Source organism: Homo sapiens, chromosome 9 (assembly GCF_000001405.40).
Source record: "Homo sapiens chromosome 9, GRCh38.p14 Primary Assembly".
Taxonomy (NCBI): domain Eukaryota; kingdom Metazoa; phylum Chordata; class Mammalia; order Primates; family Hominidae; genus Homo; species Homo sapiens.
In genome coordinates, this window is record NC_000009.12 from 21,179,932 (window position 1) to 21,200,622 (window position 20,691).

Genomic DNA, 20,691 nt, shown 5'->3' on the forward strand with positions numbered 1-20,691 from the left:
GCTGCCATCTTTACTGTTTCACAGCCTTAGCTATTGGAGCCTCTGGGTTCTAGGGAGTCCAAGGCAGCTAGGGACTGGAGCAGCCACCCTGCACAGCCCAGCAGCTCTACAGAGAAGCAGTCAGACTGCTTATTCACGTCAATCCCAAATCCTGTTTCTTTTCACCAGGTGAAATCTCTCCACTGGGGTCTCCAGTCACCTCCACCACTGTTTTCTGGCAGACAGCAGTTTCAAATGTCCCTGGGATGGCGCTCCCAAAGGGAAGGGTGGGTTGCCATTGATGCTGTTTAGCAGCCTTAGCCATTCTTGCAAATGCCATTCTTTTGTGCTGGGGGTGGTAGCAGACCCCCAGCACAGCACAGCTGCTCTACCAAAAAGTGGCCAGACTGTTTCTTCACCTGATTCCCTGATGCTGCTTCTCCTCAGTGGGCGGCATATCCCCACCGGGGTCTCCAGCCACCTCGCGCAGGTATGTTCCAGCAGGCAACAGGTTGTACCTCTCTGGAACAGAGCTCCCAGAGGGAGGGGCAGGCCCCCATCTTCACTGTTTCGTAGCCTTCACTGTTGATACCTTGAGGAACTGAAAAATGCGAGGTGACTATGGTCTGGATTGGACCCCTAGCGTATTGCAGCAGCCCTGTGGAAAAGTGGTCAGACTGTGTGTTATGTTGGTCCGTGATCCCCTATCTGCTCACTGGGTGGGTCTGCCAGGCCTGGAACTGCAGCCACCAGCAGGGACTATCGAGCCAATAGCAGCTCTGCAACTCCCTAGAACAGAGTTCCCAGTGAGAAGGGTGGGTTTCCATCTTTGCTATCTCACAGCTCTTGCCCTTGCTGTCTCCAGACTCTGGAGAGTTTGCAGGGAACAGTGGCTGGTCCAGATCCCTAGCACAGAGCAACTAACTCACAGAAGAGTGGACAGACTGTTCTCCATGCTGTTCCTGGTTGTCACCTCGCCACAATGTGCAGGGCCACCTGACCAGAGTCTCCAGCACAGGCACCCTTCCCCTGCCTCATCTCCTCAATCAGGCAGTCCAGCATTTCTCCAAGGAAGAAATCCCACAGTCAACCCACAACCCATCCACCACTACTGTTGCAGTGGGACAGCCCCAGCAGCCCTCTGGCTGGGGAAGGAACAAAGGGCCTAGTCACTACACTCTCACCTCCAGCACATCATAGCCACTGTATGAAGAGGAGTCCAGCCCCTCTTCCCTGAGAATCCCCATCCCTATTCTTCAGGAGGCAGGGCCCCCAGCCCATGACTGCAAAACAGTCACCCTACACATGGCTGAGCACATCCACTGGTAGTTGCCTGGAGTTTCCCTGGGGAGAGGCTCCCAGAGCCATCCTACCTCTGCCACTGCCACAGCAGCAGTTTTATCCATGCTGCCTTGGGTCTGGGGAAGAAACAAAGAGTCTGAAGCTCTTTGTTTACAAGCTTACAGCACGCCACAGTCACCTGAACTTAAAACACGCTGCAGTTACCATATGGTGAGGAGAATAGTCTCTACTCCTGGTAAGATTGTCGCCTTCTGTTTCCCAAAATGTGAAGCCCCAAGCTTACACCAGCAGTGCAGCCACCCCACCCCTCTGGCTAAACACTCCCATTAACATGGCTTCACATTTCTAGAAGGTGGAGACCCCAGGGGCAACAGAAAGCCTGTCTACCACTGCCTCTGCAGTGGTACTACCCCAGCTACCTTGGAACTTATGAAGGAGCAGAGACCCCAAGTGCCTTATCCATACCTCCAACAAGCTGCAGTCAACCCAAGAGAAGAGGCCAGTCTGTCTCCCATTGGTCAACCACCCACCCGTCACATCACCAGGCAGGGAACCCCTGTCTTGGGCCCACAGCACAGACACCCCCATTCCAGGCTGAAAGCACTGAATGATTGCTCACCTGCATCTCTGGGGTGGAGCCCCCAGGAGACAAGCAAAAGACCCTCAGTTAAAACTACTACTAAGGTCTCTTCCTTCCATGCCTCCAAGGTGAGGAGAAAACATTAACCCTGAGATCACCCCAGAACTGTTGTGTGCAGCCTGGTAGTGCCAAGACAAAAGCTACAGTCAGCAGTCAAGTGGGAGAGGAGCCCACACTTTCATAGCATTGAGACGGAGCAGGCTGCAACCATGAGGAAATGTATGGGAGCCACATGACTGAGCAAGAGCCTGACAACTGACCACTGCACCTAAGAGTCACCTACTAGGTCATGCCCAAAGCTTCAACACTAAAAAAATCTCACTAACATACCCTCATTAAACCAAAGACAAGTCAGCTACAAATAAAGACCCTACACAAAGCTGCAGCCCTGTGAACACAGCCAGAACCAAAGTCAATTTATTGATTGGACTCAAGCTACACTCCCATATGCAGAGATGAGAAAGAACCAATGGAAGAACTATGGTAACTGAAATGGACAGAGCATCTTATGTCCTCCAAATAATCACACTAGTTCTCCAGCAAGGGTTCTTAACCAAAATGAGTTAGCTAAAATGACAGAAATATAATTCAGAATATGGACAGAAAGGAATTTCACTGAGATTCAGGAAAACAGTAAAACCTAAACCAAGGAAACTAAGAATCACAATCAAAGGAGAGAGGAGCTGACAGACAAAATAACCAGTATGAAAAAGAACCTAACAGAACTAGTAGATGTACACACTACAAGAATTTCACAATGCAATCACAAGTATTAACAGCAGAATAGACCAAGCTGAGGACAGAATCTCAGGTCTTGAAGACTGGCTCTCTGAAATAAGACAGTCAGACAAAAATAAAGAAAAAAGAATGAAGAGCAATGAACAAAACATCCAAGAAATAGGGGATGGTATAAACAGGCCAAATCTAGGAATCACTTGCATCCTTTAAAGAGACAGGGAGAAAACAAACAACTTGGAAAATGTATTTCAGGATATCATCTATGAAAACTACCACAACCTTGATAGAGAGACCAAAAGTCAAAGTCCCTTGAAGTTCTACACCCAGATTGACCAGCTGTTCTGATTCCTAGTCTAGCACAATCCATAGAGGAAGGGATAAGTTAGGAGGTCCCGGGGAGGCTGGGCAGGCTGGAGGAAAGGGACATATCCTGAACCTTTCTCTTTCCCCATAGCTGTCCATTGCCCCAAGACATGTCATGCCTGAAGCTGGGAGTATTTTCTCTGTCTAAGATACAAAAGTTAAGGAAATGGGCTAATTCCAGTACTGTGATAGTTCTTTCTTGGGAAGAGCCTCTTTTTAGCTATGAAGATAAATCTCCTGCCAGCAGGCCTACTTCTGCATTCACAACCTGCTCTCCACAGACTTGGCTGCTGTCTTGGTGCACTTTGACCAGTTGGGGGCTCTCTTTCCCTGTAAATGTTGTAATAGTCTCAAAGTCAAATGGAGTCTGCCTTTTATTTCCTTTTTTGCTAAGCTACTGTTATGTCATTGTAACAGTGACATTCCGTCTTTTACAGAAATATTCATCATAAGAAAGGAAAAAGTATTTTATAAAAGAGCTTCTGAAAAACGTAGAACTTTCACTGGCCTTCTGCTTTAATTTGTGATTTTGTGCTCTTAAGGGGAAAGTGATGGGTAAAACCCACAAGAGAACTGAAAACAGCTGTATGAAGAGGCAGTGCAGGCTAATGATGAGTGAAGAAGAGAGCACAGTGTGCATTTCTAGAGGAAGAGGAAGGAAACTAATGTGATATGGGAGTGAAAAACGGGACACAGAAAAGCAGGGAGGAAAGGGGAAAGTGTGTCAGCTCTCAGAACCAGCAAAGATGTATATTTTACTTAAGTTTAGTAGACTAACTTCATATGGGAGTGTACTCTGGGATTCTGAGAGCCAGGAAACAAATGTTCCAGGTGCCAGAATCAGTTAACCATCGACACGTGTATTCTGCACTTCAATCTAGATGCTGCTCCTCTGACAGGTATTTATACAAGCCACCATTCCTGACTGAATATAAATAGGACTTTGAAATGAGGTGAGACAATTTTTCAGCCTCTCTAGAATTCATGACAGAATTCTGTTGTTTTAGGCTGCCTAAAAAAATATATGCAAGCAGAATGGAATTTCAATGTAAAATAATTTATTGTTATTTATACCTGGTGTGTAAATTTTGTATTGAGATTTCCTTAATAATTATTAATCTCCTTTTTTCCTCAATTATACACAACTATCTCCTGCTATCTGAATTTCCTTGGTTCATGTTGTATTTTCAGCTGATTTTGACCAACTTTCTCTCTCTCTCCTTCCTTTCTTTGTCTTTCTTTTCTTTCCTTCCTTCCTTCCTTTTTCTTTCTCTCCTTTCTTTCTTTCTCTCTTTCTTTCTCTCTCTCTTTCTTTCTTTCTTTCTTTCTTTCTTTCTTTCTTTCTTCCTTCCTTCCTTCCTTCCTTCCTTTCCTTCCTTCCTTCCTTCCTTCCTTCCTTCCTTCCTTCCTTCCTTCCTTCCTTCCTTCCTTCCTTCTTTCTTTCTCTTTCTTTCTTTCTCTTTCTCTCTCTTACTTTCTTTTTTTTTGATTTTGCTTTAAGTTCCGGAATACATGTGCAGACCGTGAAGATTTGTTACCTAGGTATATGTGTGCCATAGTGGTTTGCTGCACCTATCAACTCGTCACCTAGGTTTTAAGCACAAATTTTTTTTTAATCCAGTCTGTCACTGATGGGCATTTGGGTTGGTTTCCTGTCTTTGCTATTGTAAATAGTGTTGTAATAAACATACACCTGCATGTATTTTTATAATAGAATGATTTATATTCCTTTGGGTATATACTCAGGAATGGGATTGCTGGGTCAAATGGTATTTCTGGTTCTAGATCCTTGATGAATCGCCACACTGTCTTCCACAATGGTTGAACTAATTTACATTCCCACCAACAGTGTAAAAGCTTTCCTGTTTTTCCACAGCTTCACCAGCATCTGTTGTTTCCTGACTTTTTAGTAATCACCCTTCTGAGTGGCATGAGATGGTATCTCATTGCGGTTTTGATTTGCATTTCTCTAATGATCGGTGATGTTGAGCTTTTTTCATGTTTATTGGCCGCATAAACGTCTGCTTTTGAGAAGTGTCTGTTCATGTCCTTTGCCCACTTTTCGATGGGGCTTTTTTTTTGTGTGAATTTGTTTAAGTTCTTTGTACATTCTGGATATTAGACCTCTGTCAATTGGGTAGACGGCAAAAATTTTCTCCCATTCTGTAAGTTGCCTGTTCACCCTGATGATTGATAGTTTCTTTTGCTGTGCAGAAGCTCTTTAATTAGATGCCATTTGTCAATTTTAGCTTTGGTTGCAGTTGCTTTTGGCAATTTCATCATAAAATCTTTGCCCATGCCAATGTCCTGAATGCTATTGCCTACATTTTCCTCTAGGGTTTTTATGGTTTTGGGATTTACATTTAAGTGTTTAATCAGTCTTGAGTTAATTTTTGTATAAGGTGTAAGGAAGGGGTCCAGTGTCAGTTTCCTGCATATGGTTTTCCAGTTTTCCCAGCACCATTTATTAAATAAGGAATCCCTTCCCCATTCCTAAAGTATTGAGAAAGAGATTCTCTTTTCCAGTTTCTGATTTTATTTTATGAAACAAATGTGTCAGTTTTTACTGACATTTAACGGAATATTAATCAAAATAATGATCAATTACTATTGTAAATTTTATATTTTATGTGTTTAATATATAAAATATTAAATGTATTAATATGATTTACCAGTGCATCACATTTATGAAATTTATTCATTGACATGTATTTTCAAAAAGGAAACACTATGCAGATAAAAGATAATCCACATTTTTGGGTGTACCAACTTATTACTTCCCTCCATTGCAAAGGCAGATATCTCACAATTTTCTATATGTGTTATCTTGATTTTTCTTTTTTGATTCACTCTTCTACTTACCGCAGTATGGCTTCTGCTGATTAATTCTATCAATCCAGCTCTCAGTAAGCTCTGCATTGCCCTCTATTTTCTTGCTATAGTGCTCAGTTTTAATTCACATTTTCCATAAGTCTATTGATTCTTTTTCTAAGCACATTTATTTTCTAAATCAACTTTTATCACCATTCCCTCTCATCCTTCTAAAGTTAAGGTATTCCACCTCTGTTTTCTTTGTGTCTCTTCTGTTCCCACACTTTAATGGTGGAAGGTCCTCAGAATCCAGTTTAAGTCTTTTTTTCCCTCTCCACTTCCTCCCCACATGACAGCCTTCATTTTAGGCCTTTCCATTGCCAGTTATGAATGTCCAGATATTGTATTCCTTGGAAACTGCAAATTCACATATCTGACTTGCAATGTACATTTTCAATTACATGTTGAAGTCAGTTTACAGAGAATATCTGTGCTTTTATTTCCAGATATGTCTCAATCTACATTCTGCTAAGAGGAATTCATTGTTTTTTTACTTCCTCACATTATAGCAGTTAGCATCACTGATATTAATTCAGCATTATTATTGTTTTTAGATTTCTTTCCTGACAAAAATAAAAGATACAAGAGAAGAGGGACTGTATATTTTATGTTCACATTTATATCCTGAAGGCAACATATAACCAGGTACAGAAAAATATGTTTTTTTATAACTTGAATAAAATTATGATAGGTAACTTAATTAAATCATCTATTTTTAAGTCAGGTTGTAAAGTCAGCCTTGGCATTTTATCTTAAGGAATAAACAAACACAAGAAATTTTGTATAGTAAAAATTTAATGAAAAAGGAAATTAATATATTGGCTAAATATGAAGAACATATATTGTTACATTCACCACAATGTAAAGGTACTCATGATATCACATAAAAAATAATTTAAATTTTAAAAATAAATAAATATTTAAATAAATAGATGAACAGAGACATCAGCATTGTCATCTGTAAAGGACTAGTGCCTGCACAGGTATACACCAAGCTTCTTCACACTGCTGAAAACATTTGAAAATTTTGATTCAACTCGTGGTGGTTATAGAAGTGAGTCTTTGAAATGGAAGAACTCATGAAAGTGTGAGATAATGTATTAGTCAATCAGGATCATTTCCATGTTGAACCAGGTTTCAATCCTTCCTCCTTAATCTTTTTTGCAAGTTTGTTGAAAACGAGAGGGATCTCATGATTTCTGCTCTGACAACCTCCCAGGCACAAGGGCTGTATTTCTTCTCTGTTAGATAAAGAGTGATTCTTTGGAAGTATTTCCTCACAGCCAGGATGGAGTCCTCATTCATCAGGGGAGTCTCTTCCACCCCAACCTCCTGTATCACACATGCTTCCAGGTCATTCAGTTGCTGGTAAAGTTCAGTGGAAAATTTTTCTAGGAGGCTCTGTTCCCAAGCAGCAGATGAGTCCTCTGTGCTGAAGAGATTGAAGGTCTGCTGGATCATCTCATGGAGGACAGAGATGGCTTGAGCCTTCTGGAACTGGTGGCCATCAAACTCCTCCTCGGGGAATCCGAAATCATGTCTGTCCTTCAGGCAGGAGAAATGAGAGATTCTTCCCATTTGTGCCAGGAGTATCAAGGCCCTCCTATTACCCAGGCTGTGGGTCTGAGGCAGATCACAGCCCAGAGAACAGATGGATTTGTAGCTGAGCACCAGCACGGCCATCAGTAAAGAAAAGGACAGGGCCATTGGGATGTTGCAAATATTGCTAGGCTACTTGAGATGGATAACCTTGAACTTCGGCCTCTAGGTTTTCTGAAGACTTTGCTCTGTGCATAGGTCTTAAATAGTGAACATACTAATTTCCATTTTCTAAATTCCCTAGTTGTACTTTCTATCTCTGTTTTTGCTTTCTTTATGCACTCTCTACATGTGTTTAAAAAGTTTTTCATTTTTTTTCATCATTGCCTATTTTTCACCTGCACTCAAAGGCTTTTATGGTATTTTTTTCTAATTGAAATCTTCATGAAATTTTAATAACACAGATTTGGCATATCTATTTATGTATATTACGTATACCTCTACTTCACAGATAAAAACTACAAAGTTTGCTCTTTTTATTCAAAGTAAAGAATGACAGAAAAGTTAAACTAAAATTTAAGTTTAAAAGCTATTGACATTTAACTTAATTTGATAAGTATATTTGTGGAATAACTTTTAGTGTAATTTGTTCATGTAAATTTTGTATCAAAGTACATATGCAAAATAAAAATCTATATAGATACACATTAATAATATGAATATAATTACATATCCAATCATTCAAAACTCCTAAAAATATGAATGAATAATTTTTTAAAATTTTTCTCTTAGTGTATGAAGCTTTGAATTTTGCTTTATATGACAAAATAATTTGTAAACTTCACCAGCTGCAGTATTCATCCAGATGTTGCCAACACTTTTTTCTTTTCAGCACTTGACATAAATATTGATGTGTTGAATAACTTTACTAGAAATAAATCATATAATATAAGCTATTTGCATTGAATTCTCAAAGTCTACAAAACATCTTGAAGAACTGAGGATCAAACATAAGTAAGAACCATAAGATAGTCAATGGCAGCCCAAAGATATGCAGGTTAAAGCCACATATTGTGATAAGACCTTAAGATCCAGCAAAAAATGGACAAAAAGTCCTCCAATCACAGTCATCTATTTGCCATAGGTTTGTAACACTGGTCTTACAAATATTTTGTTTATCTTCATGAACTCAATACCAGTGCTTCTCATATCATACACAAAAAAACCCAATGAGAAAGATATATATTAAGCAATGAAATTTTGTTGGATAGAATTGTTGGAGAGTCACAAACTATTGTAATATGTCAGATTTGTTTACACTACGAGAACTAATTTTCGTACCCTTAGAAGAAGTGTCATTCCAATAAACATATGTGACTTAGAAAATATTATGAATTAAATTATTTTTGGCATTTTTCATTGAAGTTCATATTCCCTAAAGGTTTTCAGAAGTTCCTATCCAAGTCAATTCTTATCAAATAAAAAAGACCATCTTTGTTGTAAATTCATAAATTTATAATTATTGAATATTATCATGTAAAGAATTAACTTTCAGAGTGATCCTGAACTCTGGCTCTACCTTTTTGTTGTTTTTTTTTTTTTTGCATAAGAAGTTTTTTTTTGCATAAGTAGGCCCTATAGATACTGAGTCCTTAAATGGAATGAGGTCTGTTTTAGCAAATCAGCTATTTAGTAAGTGGAGTTTTTACTAGTTTCTCATTTTTTCTTCTACTGGAAAGTGTTCAAGAATGAAGCTATTTTGCTTCCTCATGGCCATATTTGCTGGGATTGTAATAGACAATCACAAAAATTTCCATTCAGTGTTTACTGAGAGTCAGTAATGCCCATTTAGTTTACTGCTAAAACCACTGGGATTCTAGTTTTTTTTAAGTGCATGTAGATCTGGGGATTCAAGTTGCAAGAGCAGCATAATATCATCCTTTGCCTAGCACTATATTAACTATTTATGACTTCATCTCTAATCTGTCCTCTACTTTGTTATAATAGAAAATAACTAGCCTGGTGTCAAATGCAGAGTCACATATCTAAATTCAAACTCTCCAATTCACACAGTTTATAGGAGTCAGACAATTTGCTATTCCCAAAAGTATGGAATAATAGCCTCTCTTCCCCAAATAATCCTACAGCTTTCCTTCCCTGGATCAAATCCCGAGAATGTGTATGTGAACTGTGAAGACTTGTGACATCATTTTTCCATCATTTATAAATTTCAGCTTTAAATCATGTGATAATCTTTTAATGACACGGGTAGAAAATGAGCCGGTTTATATAAGGTAGAAATTATGAAATGGATCAATTTTAGAAAATAACCAAACACATTTTATTATTCATTATTTTAAATAATTCATTTAAATTCTTTATATCATTGAACAATTAAAATATTCTACATTGTGAAATGTGCACAGGGGTTTCCATAAATAGGAGCTTTCATTTCAGAAATGTATATTTTGTACATTGATTTAGTTGTTGATCCAGTCAACACATTTTTATTGAATTTTGGGCTCATCCTTTTATTAGACCCTGAGAATACAGGGCAATTTTGCCCAAGTTATTATTCTTAGTCTTTGAAACACTGGGGGAGAGAGTATTTTTTTCTTTGTTCGCTTGAGAGTGTATTGGGAATTTTTGCATATTCATTTTTCATGTTGTATTTTACTGTGAAAATTGGTTTTTCTATACTTTGATTTCTTTCATTTTCACATTCAGGTTAGTGTCAATGAAAGAATACAAATATAATTTTTAAATGGACTATACAATGGTTCTATGTGGTATTCACAACAGCAAATATATTTATATTTCTCACTTCACTTTTCCTAGAAAGTAAAAGTGGTCTGATTTTTCATCTTAATTTATGGGAACAAAAAGAAAACAAATGTATGTCTAAATGTGATAAACATGTAAGAGGAGAAATACTTAATGCAAATGACAAGTTAATGGGTACAGCAAACCAACATGGCACATGTATACCTATGTACCAAACTTGCCCGTTGAGCACATTTACCCTGGAACTTAAAGTATAGTACAAAAAAAAAAAATGACCAGAGGGGAACTTAGAAAATATCTTGAGACCGATGAAAATGAAAACACAACATACCAAGACGTATGTGATGCAGTGAAAACAGAGCTAAAGGGGAAATTGAAAGCTGTAAAAGCTTATATTAAAAAAGAAGAAAGACCTCAAACCAATGAACTACTTTACAAGTTAAGGAACTAGAAAAAGAAGAAATAAACACATAGTAAGGAAGAGGAAGAAAATAAGAAAGACTAAAGCAGACCCCAGGTCTTCATCCTTACTTCTCAGTCCTTGCAAGTCTGTTGATGAAGAGAAGGATTTCATGATTCCATTCTGACAACCTCCTAAGCACAGTCACTGTATTTCTTCTCTTTCAGGTAGATTCTCTGGATTCCCATGGATTCCCTGGAAGTACCTCCTCAAGGCCAGTATAGGGCCCCAATCACCCCCACAGATTCTTCCTCTCCTGTTGCCTGCCCTAAGCAAGACTCCAGGCATTCGAGCTGCTGATGAAATCCAGTGTGGAGCTGGTCCAGGAGGGTCATGTTCCAGGCAGCAGAGGAGCGCTCTGTGGGGAAGAGGCTGAAGATCTGCTGAAGCATCTCATGGAGGACAGACACAGCCTGGGCCTTCTGCAAATGACTGCCATCCACATCTCCAGGGGGAACCTGAAGTCTCTTCTGTCCTTGAGACACAAGAAAGTGGAGATTCTGCACATTTGGCCCAGAAGTGCCAAGGTGTTCCTGCTAAGTAGGCCACGGTTCTGAGGCAGTTCAAAGCCCAGAGATCCAACAGGGCCACAGTGGCAAAGCAGCAGGGCCACCAGTAGAACAAGCAGTAGGACCATTGGGAAACGAGGGTGCTGCTGGCCTAGCTGAGCTGGGGTCGGGATGAACCCCGCACTCCAGGTTCTCTCAAGGCATTCTTTTTATGCATGGCTTATAGCTGGAAACAAATAGTTTTCAGGATTGGCCAAGATGGCCGACTGGAACCTGCTAGTGTGTGCCACTCTCATGGAGAGAAATGGAAGGGGCAAGTAAATACAGCACCTTCAACTGAAACAACCGGGTGCACACATTGAGACTCAAGAAAACAACTTGACCCATGGAGAATAAAGCAAAGTAAGGCAGGACAACTGCCCCCCCAGGAGTGACACAGAGCCAGGGGAGCCTCTCCTGCCCAGGGAAGTGGTGAGTAAGTGAGCAGCCCTGGGGACCCACGCTTCTCCCACAGATCTTTGCAATCCTCAGGTCAGGAGATCTCCTAGTGAACCCACTCTACCAGGGCGTTTAGTCTGACATGCAGGGCTACGTAGGGTTTCAGCAGAGCAGCCACTCTCGCATGCATGGGTACCCTGGAGCCTTAGATACCCAGGCCTCCCCACAAAAGAAGCTATAACTCCAGCCAAGCAGGACGCTAGACCCCTATACATACCCCTAGGAAAGGGGTTTCATCCAGGGCGCTGGGCAGTGACAAGTGACAGGCCCACCTTCCATGGCCTGTCTCAGGGTAAGACCCACTGACTTGGGAATCCAGCCAGACACTGGTAGCAGCCTCATACCTCCCTGACATGGAGCTCCCTGCGGCAGGGGGTGGGCTGCCATCTTTGCTCTTTCACAATCTTAGCTATTGGAGCCTTTGGGTTCTCGGGAGTCCAAGGCAGCTAGGGACTGGAGCAGCCACCCAGCACAGTCCAGCAGCTCTACGGGGAAGCAGTCAGATTGGTTATTCATGTCGATCCCAAATCCTGTTTCTTTTCACCGGGTGAAATCTCCCCACTGGGGTCTCCAGTCACCTCCACCACTGTTTTCTAGTGGCCAGCAGTTTCGAATATCCCTGGGATGGCGCTCCCAAAGGGAATGGTAGGTTGCCATTGTTGCTGTTTAGCAGCCTTAGCCATTCTTGCAAATGCCATTCTTTTGTGCTGGGGGTGGTAGCAGACCCCCAGCACAGCACAGCTGCTCTACCAAAAAGTGGCCAGACTGTTTCTTCACCTGATTCCCTGATGCTGCTTCTCCTCAGTGGGAGGGATATCCCCACCGGGGTCTCCAGCCACCTCCTGCATGTATGTTGCCGGAGGCAACAGGTTGTACCTCTCTGGAACAGAGCTCCCAGAGGGAGGGGCAGGTCCCCATCTTCACTGTTTCATAGCCTTCACTGTTGATATCTTCAGGTACTGAAAAATGTGAGGTGACTATGGTCTGGATTGGACCCCCAGCATATTGCAGCAGCCCTATGGAAAAGTGGCCAGACTGTGTGTTATGTGGGTCCCTAATCCCCTATCTGCTCACTGGGTGGGTCTGCCAGGCCTGGGTCTGCAGCTACCAGCTGGGGCTATTGAGCCAATGGCAGCTCTGCATCTCCCTGGAACAGAGCTCCCAGTGAGAAGGGTGGGTTGCTATCTTTGCTTTCTCACAGCTCTTGCCCTTGCTGTCTCCAGGCTCTGGGGAGTCTGTAGGGAACAGCGGCTGCTCCAGATCCCCAAAACAGAGCAACTGCCTCACAGAAGAGTGGCCACACTGTTCTCCACGCAGTTCCTGGTTGTCACCTCTCCTCTGTGGGCAGAGCCACCTGACCAGAGACTCCAGCACAGGCATTCTTCCCTTGCCTCGTCTCCTCAATCAGGCAGTCCAGCATTTCTCCAAGAAAGAAATCCCACAGTCAACCCATAACCCATCCACCATGACCGTTGCAGTGGGACAGCCCCAGCAGCCCTCCGGCTGGGGAAGGAACAAAGGCCTATTCACTACACTGGCACCTCCAGCACATCATCACCACTGTATGAAGAGGAGTCCAGCCCCTCTTCCCTGAGAATCCCTGTCCCTATTCTTCAGGAGGCAGGGCCCCCTGCCCATGACTGCAGAACAGTCACCCTACCCATGGCTGAGCATATCCACTGGTAGTTGACTAGAGTTTCCCTGGGGAGAGGCTCCCACAACCATCCTACCTCTGCCACTGCCACAGCAGCAGTTTTATCCTTGCTGCCTTGGGTCTGGGGAAGAGACAAAGAGTCTGAAGCTCTTTGTTTACAAGCTTACATCATGCCACAGTCACCTGAACTTCCAGCACACTGCAGTTACCACATAGTGAGGAGAACAGTCTCCTCCTGGTAAGTTTTCCACCTCCTGTTTCCCAAGAAGTGAAGTCCCATACTTACACCAGCAGTGCAGCCACCCCACTCCTCTGGCTAAACACTCCCATTAACATGACTTCACATTTCTAGGAGGTGGAGACCCCAGGGGTAACAGAAAGCCTGTCTAACACTGCCTCTGCAGTGGTACTACCCCAGCTACCTTGGAACTAATGAAGGAGCAAGACCCCAAGTGCCTTATGCATACCTCCAACAAGCTGCTGTCAACCCAAGAGAGGAGGCCAGTCTGTCTGCCATTGGTCAACCATCCACCCCTCACATCACCAGGCAGGGAACCCCTGTCTTGGGCCCACAGCACAGACACCCCCATCCGAAGCTGAATGCTCTGAGTGATTGCTCACCTGCATCTCTGGGGTGGAGCCCCCAGGGGACAAGCAAAAGACCCTCAGTTACAACTACTACTAAGGTCCCTTCCTTCAATGCCTCCAAGTCGGGGAGAAAACATTAACCCTGAGATCACCTCAGAGCTGTTATGTACAGCCTGGGAGTGCCAAGATACAAGCTACAGTCAGCACTCCAGTGGGAGAGGAGCCCACACTTTCATAGCATTGAGAAGGAGCACGGCTGCAAACGTGGGGAAATACAGGGGAGCCACGTGACTGAGCAAGAGCCTTACAACTGACCACTCCAACTAAGAGTCACCTACTAGGTCATGCCCAAAGCATGACACTAAAAAATGTCACTAACATACCCTCATTAAACCAAAGACAAGTCAGCTTCAAATAAAGACCCTGCACAAAGCTGCAGCCCTGTGAACACATCCAGAACTGAAGTCTACTTATTGATTGAACTCAAGCTACATTCCCATATGTAGAGACGAGAAAGAACCAACTGAAGAACTATAGTATCTCAAAAGGACAAAGTATCTTATGTCCTCCAAATAATCTCACTAGTTCTCCAACAGGGGTACTTAACCATAATGAGTTAGCTAAAATGACAGAAACATAATTCAGAATAGGATAGAAAGGAATTTCATTGAGATTCAGGAAAATGATAAAACCTAAACCAAGGAAACTAAGAATCACGATCAAAGGAGAGAGGAGTGGACTGACAAAATAGCCAGTATGAAAAAGAACCTAACGGACCTAGTATAGGTACACTACTAGAAGAATTTCACAATGCAATCACAAGTATTAACAGCAGAATAGACCAAGCTGAGGACAGAATCTCAGGACTTGAAGACTGGCTCTCTGAAATAAGACAGTCAGACAAACATAAAGAAAAAAGAATGAAGAGCAATGAACAAAAGCTCCAAGAAATAGGGGATTGTATAAAGAGGCCAAATCTAAGAGTCACTTGCATCCTTTAAAAAGACGGAGAAAGCAAACAACTTGGAAAATATATTTCAGGATATCATCTATGAAAACTACCACAACCTTGATAGAGAGACCAAAAGTCAAATTCCCTTGAAGTTCTACACCCAGATTGACCGGCTGTTCTCATTCCTAGTCTAGCACAATCCATAGAGGAAGGGATAAGTTAGGAGGCCCCGGGGAGGCTGGGCAGGCTGGAGGAAAGGGACACATCCTGACCCTTTGTCTTTCCCCATAGCTGTCCATTGCCCCAAGACGACATGTCATGCCTGAAGCTGGGAGTATTTTCTCTCTCCATGATACAGAAGTTAAGGAAATGGGCTAATTCCAGTACTGGGGTCAGTTCTTTCTTGGGAAGAGCCTCTTTTTAGCTATGAAGATAAATCTCCTGCCAGGAGGCCTGCTTCTGCATTAATAACCTGCTCTCCACAGACTTGGCTGCTGTCTTGGTGCACTTTGACCAGTTGGGGGCTCTCTTTCCCTGTAAATGTTGTAAGAGTCTCAAAGTAAAACGGAACCTGCCTTTTATTTCCTTTTTTGCTAAGCTACTGTTATGTCACTGTAACAGCGACATTCCCTCTTTTACAGAAATATTCATCATAAGAAAGGAAAAAGAGTATTTTATAAAAGAGCTTCTGAAAAACCTAGAACTTTCACTGAACTTCTGCTTTAATTTGTGATTTTGTGCTCTTAAGGGGAAAGTGATGGGTAAAACCCACAAGAGAACTGAAAACAGCTGTATGAAGAGGCAGTGCAGGCTAATGATGAGTGAAGAAGAGAGCACAGTGCGCATTTCTAGAGGAAGAGGAAGGAAACTAGTGTGATATGGGAGTGGAAAATGGGATACAGAAAAGCAGGGAGGAGAGGGGAAAGTGTGTCAGCTCTCAGAACCAGCAAAGATGTATACTTTACTTAAGTTTAGGAGACTAACTTCATATGGGAGTGTACTCTGGAATTCTGAGAGCCAGGAAACAAATGTTCCAGGTGCCAGAATCAGTTAACCATCGACACGTGTATTCTGCCCTTCAATCTAGATGCTGCTCCTCTGACAGGTATTTATACAAGCCACCATTCCAGACTAAGTAGGACTTTGAAATGAGTTGAGACAATTTTTCAGCCTCTCTACAATTCATGACAGAATTCTGTTGTTTTACGCTGCCTAAAAACAATATATACAAGCAGTATGGAATTTCAATGTAAAATAAGTTATTATTATTTATACCAGATGTGTAAATTTTGTGTGAGGATTTCCTTAATAATTATTAATCTCCTTTTTTCCTCATTTATACACAACCATCTCCTGCTCTCTGAATTTCCTTGGTTCATGTTGTATTTTCGGCTGATTTTGACCAACTTTCTTTCTTTTTAAATTTTGCTTTAAGTTCCGGGATACATGTGCAGAACGTGCAGATTTGTTTCATAGGTATACGTGTGCCATGGTGGTTTGCCTCACCTATCAACTCGTCACCTAGGTTTTTTTTTTTGAATTAATTTCGTATTTATTTTATTTTAACCATCCTTTCTCCTCCATTACAGTATACATTTCATGAAGACAGGAATTCCATGTTATTCTATTTCCTATAATTGATGCTTAATACCTATTGTCAACTGATTCTTTTCTCTGTGCAATTCCTCTGGAGAAATATTTTGTTCTGTGCCAAGAAACAGTTTCATTCAACGGTTAAGGTGACTTGTGTCACTGATCTGATTTCCTTCTTTTACATTAACTATCAAAAATCTCAGACTTATTAATAAAGACATGTCTTCATAGGGTACATCTTTATAATGGTCTTATTTTTATTTTATTTTCCTCCCTCTTTTTTTTCATTTTACTTTATTCTGTCCTAAACATTTAAAGTTTCAGCTAATTTTAAAGTAAAAGATGCTCAATGGGAAAAGCTCACACAAATCAGAGCTACCTAAAAGTAGAGTTGGAAAGTCCCAAGGATCTTTTTCTCTGAGGCAAGCCTCTTTGCTTCTGAGTGCTTGCCCTGCAGACTGGCTTATGAAGAGGTCACCATCTTTTCAGATTCCAGGGGCCCGTAATGTTCATACCACTGCAGTATTCTTACTACACACTGTAATAATCTGGAATAATAAGATCGTAGGCACTCTTTCTTGCCCTCACATGTGGATCTGCCTTCTCCTTTTAAACAGCCATGTAACGTTCCCTATCTCACCTACTTTGAATTTTTATATTCTTGCTGCTCTAAGGTTTTTTTTTGGAGCAAGGAAAGCAATTAAAAAAAATAAAATTTACTTTCAAAAGAAGAGTAGAGATAATTAACCAGCCCTTGCCACCTAACTAAATATAATTCCCTAGTAACTCCTCTTGGAGCCACCAGGTTCCCTGGGAGTGGAATTGCCTGTGGAAAGGCCTATGTGGATTCTGAGCTTGGGAAATGGTGACGGAGCCCTCTCTCTAGCCTCTCAGCCTGGCCAAACACGGTGAAACCCGTCTCTACTAAAAGTACAAAAATTAGCTGAGTATGGTGGCACGAGTCTGTAATCCCAGCTACTCGGGAGGCTGAGGCATGAGAATTGTTTGAATCCGGGAGGCAGAGGTTGCAGTGAGCCGAGATAGCACCGCTGCACTCCAGCCTGGGTGACAGAGCGAGACTCTGTGTCAAAAAAAAAAAAAGAAAAAAAAAAAGTAAGAAATGAGTGAACATTTCAAAATGGCAGGAACTGGTTAAGTTTAAAACTGAAAACTTTCATTCTGACAAGAAAGCAGTCATTCCTTTTCTCCATTAACAGAGATAAAGAAAAGCTTTTCAAATCTGTATATGGCTACGTTGATTGACGTCCGAGTTAAAAATGAAATGTCGGCCGGGCGCGGTGGCTCACACCTGTAATCCCACCACTTTGGGAGGCCGAGGTGGGTGGATCATGAGGTCAGGAGATGGAGGCCATCCTAGCTAACATGGTGAAACCCCATCTCTACTAAAAATACAAAAAATTAGCTGGGCATGGTGGCATGCACCTGTAGTCCCATCTACTCAGGAGGCTGACACAGGAGAATCACTGGAACCCAGGAGGCGGAAGTTGCAGTGAGCCGAGATTGCGCCACTGCACTGTAGCCTGGTTGACAGAGCGAGACTCTATCTCCAAAAAAAAAAAAAAAAAAGAGACAGAGAGAGAGAAATCTCATTTCCCTGTTGCTCAGTCACATTCCTATAAACATACTACTTGCATGCCTGGACAGTTATCACCTTCCAACCTCTTATCTCGGTGATTTCCCAAGCTACAGAGTAAGATAGGTGGAGAATTTTTGTACTTTTAGTAGAGACAGGGTTTCACCATGTTGGTCAGGCTGGTCTTGAACTCTAGCCTACACAACAGAGCAAGACTCCGTCTCAAAAAAAAAAAAAAAATAGGCAGAGAAGGGGTTATTTACATTTCACAGATGAGGTTCACAGGCCCTGAGTTATTTTTGCTACAGTCAACGTGAACAATAAAAACAGCAATTGTGCCCTCTGGTTTGAAGAGACCTGGCTCCACCCACCTGGTGGGGAAAACTACGCCTCCACCCTGGTCCCATGCCTGCCAGCTCTCACCTGGACTCCTCTGTTGTCTCACGTAAGTCACATCTAAGTATGACCTCAGCTGCTCAAAGGACTGCTGAGAAAGTTAGTCAAGTTATCCAACCAACACTCAGCAAACTGAGGACCCATCTGGGAGGTGGAGCCACCCTACCCAATCACAGCTGTTGGGAGTGTATCTGTCTCAGTGGGTGGCACAGCTGAGCTCCTACCTAGAGGTGGCCACCATGCTAGGAAGCACCTTCGCCTTGGACAGTGGGCTCAGGTTCTGGCTCTGCCACTTATTAGCTATGCAGTCTTGGGCAAGTGACTTTACCCCTCCTCACTGCAGCTTCTTCATTGTAAAATGAGAATACAGACACCAGAAGCTACCCATGTTTGTTGGTAAGTGCAAATGAGGCAGCCTATGTAAACAAGAGCCAGTGTCTTCGTGCGGCAAACCCCATGGCAAGTTCTCATGGAATATTAGCTATTACTGCTGTGTCTAGTCTATGTAAACTCACTGCCCTGCCCCAGCCACCAGCCACCACCCAGGAACAGCATGGTGCCCGGTGCAGAGTAACTGCTAAATGCTAAGTTAGTATACTCACAATGTACCTAACTCCCTGATGACCCTGAAGGAGGTGCACAATTCTTCCCGGAGGAGGCCCTGCCCTGGCTTAGGGCTGGCTCTGCTATGAGGGAGATAGCTGCCCCATCTAAAGCTGCTCTTACACCTTCCTGGACTGTCCAGAAAAACTCTCTATGGTTTGCTACAGACAGAACAGTCAGAAGGCGAAAGAGGGCCCAGATCCCCAGGCGCTATCTTACCCCAACTCCCTTCATTGCTAAGGCTAAGAATGTCTGTGGGTCAGTGGAGAACAGGCAGCATTCATCTCATCAGAGAAACTACTCTTTCATGCGAACGTCTCCAATGTATGGACACCATTTTCCCACTGAGTGTGCTGACACCATAGAAACACGGATCTGTCTTTCTAAGTAAATATATGAATAGAAGCTTTAAAATATTTTAAGTACGGAGTCTATAATTAAGACACAGTGTTTGAGATATTTACACAGAAGATTAATGACTCCATGCACATAATTCATCATTGCTTTAGTATTACCAAGTAATATTAAGTTAATTAAGAGACATTGGGAGGCCAAAAAACCAGGCACGACCCAACTGCAGCCCTGCCATGGAAATGAATGAACAAGTCAGCAGGCAGAACTGAGAATCGGGAGACCCACACGGAGCTGAGGAGTATCTAAGAAACCAATGTCACTTGCACTGACCTGGTCTTGCCAGTTCAAGGTCACTCTCATCCGTCACCTAGGTTTTAAGTACAATTTTTTTTAATCCAGTCTATCATTGATGGGCACTTGGGTTGGTTTTGTGTCTTTGCTATTGTAAACATGCTGCAATAAACATACACGTGCGTGTATTTTATAACAGAACGATTTATATTCCTTTGGGTATATACTCAGTAATGAGATTGCTGGGTCAAATGGTATTTCTGGTTCTAGAACCTTGATGAATCGCCACACTGTCTTCCACAATGGTTGAAGTAATTTACATTCCCACAAACAGTGTAAAAGATTTCCTATTTTTCCACAGCTTCACCAGCATCTGTTGATTTTGACTCTTTAATAATTGCCATTCTGAGTGGCATGAGATGGTATTTCATTGTGGTTTTGATTTGCATTTCTCTAATGATCAGTGATGTTGAGTTTTTTAATGATTATTGGTCGCATAAATGTCTACTTTCGAGAAGATTCTGTTCATATCCTTCACCCACTTTTTGATGGGGCTTTTTGTTTTTGTAAATTTGTTTAAGTTCTTTGTACATTCTGGATATTAGACCTGTGTGAGTTGGGTAGACTGCAAAAATTTTCTCCCATTCTATGGGTTGCCTGTTCACTCTGATGATAGGTAGTTTCTTTTGCTGTGCAGAAGTTCTCTAATTAAATGCCATTTGTCAATTTAACTTTTGTTGCAGTTGCTTTTGGCGATTTCTTCATAAAATCTTTGCCCATCCTGTGTCCTATGTTTTCTTCTAGGGTTTTTATGGTTTTTGGTTTTACATTTAAGTCTTTAATCCATCTTGAGTTAATTTTTGTATAAGGTGTAAGGAAGTGGTCCAGGTTCAATTTTCTGCCTATGGCTATCCAGTTTTCCCAGCACCATTTATCATCATTCCCTCCAAATACACTTTTATCATCATTCCCTCTCGTCCTTC

General features: G+C 42.1%; 1 protein-coding gene and 1 pseudogene across 1 annotated transcript, besides 2 other annotated features; both read right to left on the bottom strand.

Annotated features, from left to right (window-relative positions):
- Window positions 3,312–3,361: an enhancer, noted in NCBI's record as "active region_28235". NCBI's record gives its function as "activates an Ori minimal core promoter by ATAC-STARR-seq in GM12878 lymphoblastoid cells {active_cell/tissue: GM12878}" and the evidence as "EXISTENCE:reporter gene assay evidence [ECO:0000049][PMID:35858748]".
- IFNA4 (interferon alpha 4) lies at window positions 6,687–7,656 on the bottom strand. The gene has a single exon (NM_021068.4). It carries the CDS (start codon window positions 7,598–7,600, stop codon window positions 7,031–7,033), a length of 570 nt encoding a protein of 189 aa, NP_066546.1. The 5' UTR covers window positions 7,601–7,656; the 3' UTR covers window positions 6,687–7,030.
- IFNWP9 (interferon omega 1 pseudogene 9) lies at window positions 10,707–11,431 on the bottom strand (annotated as a pseudogene).
- Window positions 15,449–15,508: an enhancer, noted in NCBI's record as "active region_28236". NCBI's record gives its function as "activates an Ori minimal core promoter by ATAC-STARR-seq in GM12878 lymphoblastoid cells {active_cell/tissue: GM12878}" and the evidence as "EXISTENCE:reporter gene assay evidence [ECO:0000049][PMID:35858748]".

Coding starts and splice junctions, on each gene's coding strand:
- IFNA4 (NM_021068.4), bottom strand. CDS start 7,600: ATGGCCCTGTCCTTTTCTTTACTGATGGCCGTGCTGGTGCTCAGCTAC.